General features: G+C 40.5%; 1 protein-coding gene across 31 annotated transcripts in view, besides 1 other annotated feature; it reads left to right on the plus strand.

Annotated features, from left to right (window-relative positions):
• NCAM1 (neural cell adhesion molecule 1) overlaps positions 1 to 12264 on the plus strand; it is a 317017-nt gene that overhangs the window by 180027 nt on the left and 124726 nt on the right. The gene's annotated exons all lie outside the window — the stretch shown is intronic.
• Positions 5811 to 6329: an enhancer, noted in NCBI's record as "OCT4-NANOG hESC enhancer chr11:113017979-113018497 (GRCh37/hg19 assembly coordinates)". NCBI's record gives its function as "activates a minimal SCP1, AML or CMV promoter by ChIP-STARR-seq in primed H9 embryonic stem cells {active_cell/tissue: H9 hESC(primed)}" and the evidence as "EXISTENCE:reporter gene assay evidence [ECO:0000049][PMID:30033119]".

Below are 12264 nucleotides of genomic sequence, written 5' to 3' on the forward strand. Positions count from 1 at the left end.
CGGTGAAACCCTGTCTCTAGTAAAAATATCAAAAATAAATGAATAAATAAAAAATAGCTGGGCGCGGTGGTGTGTGCCTGTAGTCCCAGCTACTTGGGAGGCTGAGGCAGGAGAATTGCTTGAACCCAGGCGGTGGAGGTTGCAGTGAGCTGAGATTGTGCCACTGCACTCCAGCCTGGCGACAGAGGGAGACTCCGTCTCAAAACAAACAAACAAACAAAAGTTAGTGAAGCTGAAGGGATTTTAGTTTAAAAATAGACAGAAAGTGCTCAAGTACTGCCTTCCCACAACGTAGTGAGCCGCCTTGCATACCTCTCGGTGCTATACTCACCCTGCTTTAGTGATCTCTCCTCTCGTATATCAGTTGTCTGCAATTTTTTTGTCATCCATATTTTGACAGCTCACTTTTAGGTGTTCATTCCAGTCGTATATAAAAGTAGGAGTTGAAAGAAGGATTAAGACAAATTACTGGAACAATTGCGACCTCTTTCTAGGTTGACATCGATCCATTTATCAACCCTCTTGAGGTACGGTTTTTTAACTAGATGGGAATAAGCTTAACTGTTTTGACAAACGGCCCCTAATTTTTCCGTCTGGGCTAGAAGATTATCATAAGACATACAGTCAAACACGTTGATTCTAGTGGTAACTGTGACTACCACTTATTGGGTGCCTCCCCAGTAACAGGCTTAGTACTAGGCTCTTTACAAATGTTATTTCATTTGTTTCTCATGGGGAGCCTATGAGATGGGAATTTGATTCCTGTGTTGGGAGGAAAAAGTTAGGAAACTGAGACACGGAAGGGTAAATTTGGGGGCAGCTGTAAGTGTCACATGAGCAGGCTTTTTGACATTAGAGTCTGTCATTAGGAAATGTACTAGGGCATGTCCACCACATAAATCCCTAGAGTGAACGACAAGATGGTTTCAAAGGATGCAGAAACATAAGTTTTAAATCACTGTGTTCTCTGAGTATGTAACACTTTACCCCCTTTTGAAAATTGGGACATCTGCATGTCTGTAATATGCTAGCCTCCCTCTTCTCTTTGCCACACTGCCTAGGGGACAGGTACCAGTGTGTTTTTGGTTCATATGCATGCTCCTTTAACAACCCAGGTAGAGGTTGCCAGGACCTGGACACAGGAACATGTGCAAAGTAGCTGGGTGCCCTCTTACTCTATCCTCACCTACCTTTGACTGCAGTCCCCCTTTGCTGTGTTTATCTGTGCTGGTTGGAGAATCATTTGAGGAAACAGAGCTGTTTTCTCTGCCATCTGCTGCTGTCTTGCCACCTTCCGGAAACAGTGGCTTTCTGTTCTCTGGCGGGTGTGTATAAACCAAGCAATTTAGAGTTAGGATACTAACGTATCATTTCAAATGATACGTTAGTTATTTTCAGTTTTTACTGTAAATTTTCAAACGAATTTTAAAAATCGAAAAAATAGTACAGTGGATACCTATTTACCAACCAGGTAGATTCAAATTAATGTTTTCCATATTTGCTCTTTCTATACTTCTTTTTCTGAAAATTTAAAGGGATGCAGACATCATGACACCTAACTCCTGAATAATGACTGTGTCTCAGAGTTGTATCTGCTAAAAATAAGGATATAATCTCTAAAATAAGGTCATTCGCCTACATAACTGCAATGCCATTTTCATACATAAGAAAATTAACACGAATTCTCTAGTATCGTGTAATACCCAGTGCAATTATCCCTCCGAAATGTATTATGTATTTTTTTCCCCAAACTAGGATTCAATTAGGTTTCATACATTGCATTTGGCTTTTATATCTCCAATAGTTTTAGAATTTAGGCTTTTGTTGTGACAGAGGTGAGAATAAAAGATCTGGATGATTTTCAAAAAAATATTTAAATCCCATCTCACATGAAGGATGACTTTTCAGATTAAATAGACTATTGATCTAGATTATTCCGGTGGTTTTTTACTTGGTAGTAAATGGCGCCGGATATGTTAAAGTTGTAAAATATAGAAATCTCTAAAGTGTGTACATGAACCACATCTTAACAGAGGCAGTCCATCAACTGTAAATGTACATGGGACCTGAGTACTTTGATGCTGTTGTATGTGTGAGACCATCTCATAAGCAAATAATGCATCAAGGGTTTTGGCTCAGCACTGGTAATGGATTATAATAGATTGAAATTAAATATGATATAAGTGACAGGAAAATTCTGCCAGGTAAGTAAATAATTGATTAATCATCCCCCAGTTAAACCTGGCAAGTTAAATTGCAGGGCTGGAATCGAATGCTTGGTAGAAGCTCCTCTCCACATTTTAGTCCTGATAAAAACTGTGCTGAAGAAGAAAAGAAAAACCAGAAACTGTTCAGAGGAAGGGCCTGTCCCTTGCTGTGTCTTATTTGCGGCATGGCATTGTGTGTATTCGTTGCGCTGTGGAAGTAGTGATAAGAAAATGAAGATCCAGGAAAGAGCTGTCACAGAAAACATAAACAAGTAGAGATCCATGGTTGCTTGGAAATCAACAAATTTAGAAGGCAAGTGACAGCATATCTTTCCTTTTTTCATTTTGTTTTGATTGTGATAAGTGGGATCAATATGACTTAGCATAGCAAAACTGGTCCCAGTGTGTGCGTGTTACTGTGTAGCTGCCACTGGACGGTCAAATGACCTTGGCTCAGTCACTAGCCTGCCAGTAGTCTGGGTGTCTGGTTTCTAATCTGTAAATAATAGACTTGGATGGGAGATCTCTGAGGTGCCTTCCAGCTCTTCAGATCTAAGATTCTAACAGCCAGAAACCTCTGTAACATAGTGCTCTCCTGATTTCCTCGTGTGATTATAACTGGTCTTTGTCATGATGACCCTCGGCCGTTACAGTCTTCCATGTGTCTCCTGAGTCATCAAAGAAAAATTAAGGTGTGCACTTAGTTTATATGAAGCATATGATTTTGTTCTACTTCTTAAAGATTAGCAGTATTCCCCTAACACTTTATTAACGAGAATGCTTTATGAATCAGAATAGTCCATTCTGTGACCATGTAGAATAAGAGAAATTTTATTGTAATTAGAAAAAGATGTATATATTTTAAAAAATGGAATAACCACTAATACATTAAAGTTACTGCTTAAAAGCCCTTAATTTACAGTAATGCAGCAACCTAAGTGAAAAAGAGCTGACCCTACTCATTACCCAAGGCAATGTTATGTTGGATTTTAATTATAAAGATCGGTTCAGCATTTGTATTTTCTGGGTCAGCAGAATATGTCCTGTATAGCCTTTAACAAACTTTTTAGACTTTTAAAGCTATGATTTCTGCACTGTAAAATGGGAAAAATACAGTACATGTGTCAAAGAGTAGTAAAAGGATGAAACGAAATCACAAATCGTGTATGTAAAGAGCCTGGGGCATAATAGGTGTTGAGAAATGTTAATGATCATAGCCATTGTGGTATCACTGAGTCCTTGGCAATTTCATTCAGGGTGGAGAGTCCTCCAACCAATCTGCATGACCAGGAATCAAGACTCATTATGTTATGTCAGTCATCTTAATTGGCTAGCAACATTGGATTGACCTTACAGCAATTCACTGACTACCTCATAACCTGAGAAAGATAGATACCTCCACTTAGCTTAATATGGAAAATAAGAATTCATAATACACTGATTCAAGCTACTTGAACATTTTGTCTTAGAAAAGATTGACACTCATTCATTCACTCTTTCCATTTTACTGACCCCAGAAATGCCAATAGCAGCTGCCTTATCTTCAAATGTAAACATATAATAATATGAACAAAGAATTCACAAAACAGACCTTTGTGGTAAAATGTGATGATTATTCTTTATATTTGAATCTGAGCTAGATCAAATCACATTTCCCTAAATATAAAAAGCACAAACGGCAAAAACATGATACAATTCAGGAATCATGCTCAACGCTGGCAGTACGATACCCATTCACTACATTATATGAAATGATTTAGTATTTGTTTCTGGAACAATTGCCAAAAGGAAAAATCAGAATCTCCCACTCAATCTTTCATCTTAGAAACTTTAAAATACTCTTATCCATATTAATGAAGACAACTCCAACATTGTGAATAGTGGGCAAGTGACACTATTATCCTGTCTTATTGGCTCTCTCCTCTTCTTTTTAAACACCTGTCTATCCGTAGTCTTCTTCATTGCTATACAATTAGAAAAAGGTTAGCTTTTAATATTTTCCAAGTCCATGTAAAGAAGGGTTTCTATTTCCACTTCATGTGTGTGTCAATTGAGGTCAGAATGGCATTATCCTTGTGTGATTGGGAGCATGGACCCCACCCCACCCCCACTTTCCTCCACCCCCTGAGAAACAGGCCATGAAGTGGTAAGAGTCTGTGATAATTTAGGCACATCTAAAAGCAAATAACCCTCTCCGGAGGCAGTTTCTTGAGGCACCAGCATCAGGATTTATTTTTCTGGAAACAAGCATCGCCATAGAAATTGACTCTGGTGACACTCCTTTTTTGGGTTGGAAAATGTCAGAGTCTTTGGTTTTAATCAAAATTGCTCATAATCTGGCTTAACGATGCCATAAAGGCCTTGGTTTGCTCTGCCCCAGGTGAATGAAAATATTTGCTGTGAAAAATAGGTTATTAGTTTTATAGCTCTACCTACTTCAATGCCTCTATCAAGAGTACGAGAAGAGATATTAAATCTCAATTTTTAATAAAATTATTGACATCATTGGGGAGCTTTATAACACTTGACATTTGCTTTCAGCGTTGGGGGAAGAAAGAGAAAGTAAATTGATTTGATATTTATTTCCTAGGTTGGAGTACAAGTTACTTTAAACATAAAATATGTGTGTTGCCTTTGAATACAATGAGCAGAATGGGTTGTTGGTTCTGAAAATGAACATAAATTTTAAGATAAAATGGGTAATGTAATGATAATAAGGTAATCTGATTGCTAAATGAACCTGTTTGATTATATTCCTCATTGGATTCCTGTTGCCACCTAGACACTCTTCCAAATTGATATAAAGTATTGTTTGAACCCAGAACATACAGCTCAGGAGTGAAAATACAGATCACATAATGAAGTTAACTTCTTTTCAGTAATGGGCTTTCAGTATTATTTTTTCTACAAGAGTTTAAAACAAAACTTTCAGAAAATATCTTTGAATGTGAACTTGCTTGCAGAGACTATCTGTCTATATTCCAATGGAATTTGCTTCTAGTGAATGATTGTGAGATACTGGGGCCAGGGCAGCGATGGAGTTGATGGCAATGGTTGCTAGGCAGAGGCCATCTGGGACTGGACAAGGCCTAGCGAAGGCTTTGTGGGATAGAGGGAAGCCAAGGGTCTTCTGTTACTACCTTAGCAGGTCGGTTTGCCTATCACTGGCTGGTTCAAATCCCAGATAATCAATATGGAAAGGTTCCTAATACAGTGGGATAAGTGAGGGGTCTGTGTCTTAGGAAAAAAAAAAAAACCTGCTTATTAAAGTGTCAACCCTTTATCACCATTTGTCACTGGCCTCTAAAGGGAGCTGTTCAGGAATGGGCGTGCCTCTTTGAAAACATGAGATCCATTTTCCTGAAGAATGATCTCAATTGATAAGTTTCCTAGTTGTGCCATTATATTGCTACCAAATTCTTTTGAAAATATGCTGGCTTCTGCAGTGATCACTTGCATTTTCAGGAAAAGGCCTACAAAACTTGTATAAAGGCCAGCTGCAATTCGGTTTATCTGTTCCTACACTATGTGCAACAGACTGTCTGAATTCTTTTTCCTTTCCTTACTAAAGACGATGCCAGCTTATTTACCCCAGCAGTGTTCTTAATGTAGATGTTAAACTGCGCGATAGATTTTTAAATGAATTTTTAATTACTTTCTGCTATTCTGAGCTCATTGCAATCAGCAGCCATCTTGCTTGAGGATAAAACAAAACAAAAACGGCTAGCTCATGGGAGGAGCAAAGGCCTTTGCAGGAGTGGAGGACAGAAGCCCATTGTCAGCGACAGCTGCTGAAAGCTTTCCCCAAGCACAGGCTCAACTGCCAGAGGGTTCTGGAGGCTTTGAGTTTTCCGCTGATGGTTCCTCTTCTCTAATGAGGTCACCTCTCAGCACAGTAGGTGGGACGACTCTGCTAATGGGAGATTCAGAAACGCAGATTGCAATTACAGTCTTTGTTTCCAGCCATCTCCCGTAGTTTCTGAACAACCCCAGAAGCTTGTAACAGGGACAGCTCCTCTACAAATACGTAACACAGCCAGATAGGACATATCATTTATGGGGCATCACCTCAGTGCCAGATGCTATATGGTGAGAATGATGCTGGCCAGGAATTTATGTGACGCCATTTTTATAACATTTAAAGCTATGCCATTTACAGTTTCATATAGTCAGACAAGTCTTATCATCCACATTACGCCATGAAAAATGCACGGTTCAGAGGGTATAAGTTGTCTGTCCGTGGCCACTACTCTAGGCTCCATATTCTGCAAAATGGGAATAATACAATCATACCTGTGCCAGTTAGAGTTTTATAAAATACTATGTGTGAAAACACTTTAAAAATGGGTGAATGCTCTACAAATATCATGTCTTACAACAATTAATCCTAAAATGCATATTTTTTGAGTACCACACAGAGAATAGAAGCAGATAAACATCTTCTCTCCCCTCCTTTCACTTTCCTTAATGGAATCTGAGGAGAAGCCCGACCTAGGGACCTAGGGACGACAGAGCCCTGGTCATCTGGACTGGGGCAGTTCGGACGTGCAGGTGTGGCTCCCAGCAGCCGCTTCCATCTCTGCTTTCCCGTCCCAGGATTAGGATGCTCATGTCGCCATGATAACAGGCCGCTGCCCTACTCCCAGCTGGCCAGATCAGTCACCTGGGCCAGTTCTGGCTGGGTCATTTTTTGTTTGTTTGCGGAGCTTTTTTTTTTTTTCCTTTTTTTTCTTTTTTTCTTTTTAAGTTAACTAGATCAAACTCCATATCTCATTTGGATTTTTCTGTCCTCTTAATTTCTGTATATTTTTTGGGTCTGATTGTAAATTAGTAATTCTCTTAGTGAGGCAGAATGAAGCGCAGAACACCAAACAAGATTCTGCTTGAATTCCAGCCCCAAGGTGAGGAAGTGGGCATTCATCCAAGTGAAAATTTTTGTTAACGTTAGGTAAGGATTCAAAGGCTCTGACCCAAAGCTTTAGTACGTCTCCTTATCTTAGATTGAATTGATGCATAACTGTATGAATGTTTTTGTCAGGCATCACCATAGGTACTTTCAAACCTGCTCACTCAATTCCTGCAGTAGTTTTGGGTGGAGGGAATTATTCTCCCCTTTGTTTACAGTGAAGACTCTTCCAAGTCTCAGGAAAGCTGCTTGGCTCCAAGGCAAGGGCTCCTCCCCTCTGCTGCGCTGCTTCTCTGCACAGCCATATGAATGGGGCTCTTCACTCTTCTCAGAGAGGTCAGTGGGCAGCAAGATAAGGCAGAAGCCAATGAGTGACTGTCTCACCTCCTCACTCTCCTCCTTGGGCTGAGAGCTCCAGCATCTCAGCTACTCTCTAAAAGGATCTTGCAGTAACCAAAGTGGAACATCACTTTCTGGTCTTCCAAGACCAGACCAACTAGTCGGGGACTTCCAAAGGGAACAAATTGCCTATACTTCCTTCAGACCAAGCATCCTGAAAGTCGTTTGAAGTTGCCTGGACTACTTTGGGTGGGAGCCAGTACCTCTGCTGGACCCGGGGTGGGGCCTGCCAGCTGGGGGGGCCTTCCTCCAAGACAAGGGTGCACATTCCCACAGCAAAGCCTGGCTAGGGCTGTGCCTTTCTGATGTGATGGGCATGTGACATCCTGCTGATGAGAACAATGACAAGAGCAAACATATGTTGAGGGATTCACTGGAGCGCCACATGCATAGTGATATTAAGGAAGAGATTGGATTCAAAAAACCCACTGGGAAACCATTATAATAATCCAAATAAGGGAAGATAACATCTGGCTGAGGACAGGGCAGAGGAAGTGGGAGAGTAGATAAATGGAAGAAATAAGATGAAGGAAGGATCAGAAGGGCTGGTGGCTGAGTTGAGGAGGTAGGTGTAAAACTTGCAAGATTTAGAACTGGGTGCCAGTGATGAGAAGTCCTCAAGATCTCCACAATTTCTATTTCCCTCTCTGTCTCTAAATAAAACTGTTTTTCTTTAATTACAAATAGTGAGGAAAAATTTATTTTTTTACCTTCACTTTTTAGTGTTTCGTTTAATTACTTATACTGTTACCATATTGCTTTCTGCTACTTTTCATTGCAGATGGATTAGCCAAACTTTGTTTCCTAGCCAGAGAACAAACTGAATTACTATTTATAATGCAGTTTCTATGGAAAATGAATTATACATTTCAAACAGCCTCACAAATAGAATTTTGGAATACGGAGTTGTGGACTTCTTTTATTGACTTTTATTTGAAAAAGAGATATTCTTATAGTAGATGTGGGATTGACTCTCAGAAGAAAGGTAAAATTGGGCAGCATATATGTGGGAGTCATTTGCATAAAAGTGAGAATTTAAGAGGATGAAAATGATCAAAAAGTGGGCAGCGGGGAAAATCAAGGCAGCAGTGTACTCCATTTGTCCAGCTAGTTTAGAACTGAAAGGAAAATGAATACAAAGTCTGCTTTATTTAAAATAAAAAAATAAATAAACATTTCTAAGGTAAAAGTCAATTGCGAAAAATAAAGGTAAATCTCTCTTTTAGGAAAGACCAATTTTGGTGAATTTATCTGTGAGTTGTAAAGAATATTAATTAATATATCAAGCAATGTAAATGTTCTTTTTGAAAAAAATGGATTGGGCCATCATTCTAGTTTAAAATGATTTATGATTAATTTATTTGTCTGAGGCAAAGGAATGGTTTGTGGCAAAGGGCTGGTGGTGGCCCTGTCTATATGGAAACTGCATGAGTCCCTCGGGTTCGTATGCATGCCTCTCTGAGCTGTGACATCAGCCTGCTCACTTGGGATTTCCTGTTGAGAGTATACTTTTACTTCCAAGTTGCTATATTTAATTCAACTCCACAAGGCTTTATTAAGCATCTTTCATTCATATGCTAGCACCAATATAGGCGCTGGGAGGAGTCAACAGCATAGGACCCTTTCCCTGCCATTAAGAAATTTGTAACTCATTTGGGGAGGCAAGACAAACCGACATCAGCCAGTTAGAGTTCATAAAAGGTGGAGTATCTTCTTTCTGTTCCCAAACTGTTGGGCAGTTTTTATTGCAGGGACATGGAAAGAAAGAGAGAATGAGAGAGAGAGAGCATGCTCTGGAAACTGAAGCAGTATCAGGAGACCTTGTGAAGGAAGAGGGATTTGGGAAGAGTTTGAGTGGATTCAGGATAGAATATCATCAGACTAGGAAGAAGGGGAAAGATGAGCTGGGCAAGGAGGAAGGGATGATCAAAGCCTCATCCTGATTGTCCACATCAGGAATTATGGGAGAGGAAGCCCAGATAGTTGAGGTGTGGTCAGTTAAAGTGTGAAGACCTCGAATGCCTGGCTAATTTATGTGACCTTGGTCTAATAAGTAGTAGGAGCAGGATATGGCCAGTGAGACAAAGCAGTATTGAGCACAAAACTGTGCAAAGCCAGGTAATGGTGCTTGTGCTCCTCAGTGGGACCTCATGAGCCACGTTGACATTCTGAGATGACAAGCCTAAGAATAATGAATCTGTCAGTCCTCTGGCTCTTAATGACCTGAATCCTAAATGTACAAGGGGAATGGCCCTAACTTGAAAAATGCCAGCTGCAACCAAATGGAAAGAAGTGTAAAGTCCAGATAGAAAATCTCTTGCAAAAGAGAGAATGAAGCTGTGGGACCCTTGTCAATTTTCAAAAGCCACAACCCAGTCAGGCAGCACATATCGGAGCTCAAGAGAGAAAATATGGCCACATTGAATTGACCATCTTCGTGATCCTGAAAGCATTGCCTGTAAGTGAAAATATACTCACTCCTGGGGAGGCTGAAAATGACTAGTCAATTAGATATGGTCAGGAGACATTCCCCTACTTGAGAAATTCAATGAATTTTTCACTTTTAAGGCAGGTTTGCCATTGTGTAGAAAAAGCCATAGAACTTCCTGATTGGTGCACACATTCTGAGAGCCCAGCATTCCACTCACTATTGCATGAAGTTGAAATGATAGGAAAAAAGGAATCTGCAGCTGTCTCTTTTTTCCTGCTCTTCCGCTTCTGTCGTCAGTTTTCGTGGAAAGCTTTTAATGCAGGGGCAAGGTTTTGCTAGCAGAGCCAGGCCCATACCAGCAGCTCTTAGCTTTCAGTTTTCTGAGCTTTGTTACTCATCGGTTATAGTGGTCTGTTCTTATCCCCAGTGTAGCAAGTTCTAAATCCCATCAGCTTACCAATCCACTGGGCTGAGAAGCTGACTTGGGAAGGATGGAAAATGGATGTAGGAGTGAACCACAGAACAGAAAGATCCCCAGCAGAGCTGCAAGCTTGGGGGTGGGAGGGGAAGGGGATGGAGGAGGCACACTGGGCATTTGATCATCTCTAAGTGCATAAAACTTGCCTGTGACACACCTAGAATGGGTCATTTAAGTGTACATTTGCAGTGGGTTCCAGAAAAATATAAGAAATGGTTGAAAGCATCCAAAAATTTAAGAATCCTTTCTAATGAGTTTCAGGAAGGCATCTCTCATGGGAGCCTGGGGTGCTGCAAAGTTGCTGTTGGAACTTCAGCATCACAGCTCTGGTCTTACTTCTTTGATGTACCCCATGTGTGGGGCATCACAGGCCCTGCCTTTGCAAACAAAACCCAGGTGTAAAGGCTGCAGAAGTCTTGCTGTGGATGGGCTGTGTTTCCACCATACTGCATCTGTGCATTTCTGCTTTGGGCATTATGGTTTCCATTTCTTTTAACAAGTGGCAACTACAACTGCCACAATCCCCTTGGCAACTTCTCTTTTCCAAGCCAATATATGAAACAAATCAGTGTAATATGCTCTAAAAATATCCATGTGATGCTTTAAAAATGCGTATTTCCAACATGTTCTCCTTCAGAGCACTTTGCCTTGGCAGGTAAGCACTACCTTTACATGCTTTTGCTCTTTATGGACTAGGCCCATCCTTAGCCAGGTTGATTTTACTTTTATTCATGCTCTTTATGAAATTGGCTCAGATATAGGAACATGGAGCATTTGTAACTGTTACTTATTCATTTAATCAACAAAACTATATTCAACATTCATTGCTGTCCATTGTTCTAGGTGCTGAATATAAAAAGATTAAAAATTTGGTCCTTCCTTCAAGGATCATGAAAGGAAACAAGCAAGTACACAAATATTTGGCACCATAGGCAGAATGAAATTCTAGAGGTCTTTGCATGCTGTATTAAGAGCATTTACTCAGTTATCTCATTGGCTGGGATAGCAAGCCATTGCAAAGTGTTAAGAAAGGCAGTGACATCATCCTCATCTTTAGGCTTTATAAAGATGACTCTGGTATAAGAGAAGAATGAATTATAGAGGGTCGAGCCAGACAGATTCAATTGCTGGTAGTTCAGGTGAGGTTTATATGAGCCTAAACTGCAGCAATGTCTATAATTTTTTTTTTTTTTGAGACAGAATCTCGCTCTGTCACCTAGGCTGGAGTGCAGTGGTGCATTCTTGGTTCACTGCAACCTCCGCCTCCCGGGTTCAAGTGATTCTCCTGCCTCAGCCTCCTGAGTAGCTGGCACTACAGGCACCCGCCACCACGCCCAGCTAATTTTAGTATTTTAAGTAGAGATGAGTTTTCACTATGTTGGCCAGGCTGGTCTCAGACTCCTGACCTCGTGATCCACCCGCCTCAGCCTCCCAAAGTGTTGGGATTACAGGCGTGAGCCACCACGGTCAGCAGCAATGTCTGTGATTTAAAGGAAAGGATAGTTAGAGGAGATATTTAGAGAGAATTGACAGAAAGTTGTTACTGGGATTTGGCAGTGGGGAGGGGGGGCACAGAGACAGAGAGTGAGAGAGAGAGAGAGAGAGAGAGTGTGTGTGTGTGTGTATGTGGCAAACGTGATGGATAAGATGTTTGTCATGATTCTGGCTTGGCTGTGTGGATAGATGGTGACACTTTTAAGAATATGAATGAAAGAACTGGTTTTAGTGCAAAAATAGTGAGTTTTGTTAGAGATAAACTTTCAGGTAGAAACTTAAAGTGAGCAGTTGTATGTCTGAATCTGAGGTTAGGAAGAAAGGCCTGGGTTAGATATGTAAATCTGGG

This window comes from Homo sapiens, chromosome 11, assembly GCF_000001405.40.
Source record: "Homo sapiens chromosome 11, GRCh38.p14 Primary Assembly".
NCBI lineage: Eukaryota > Metazoa > Chordata > Mammalia > Primates > Hominidae > Homo > Homo sapiens.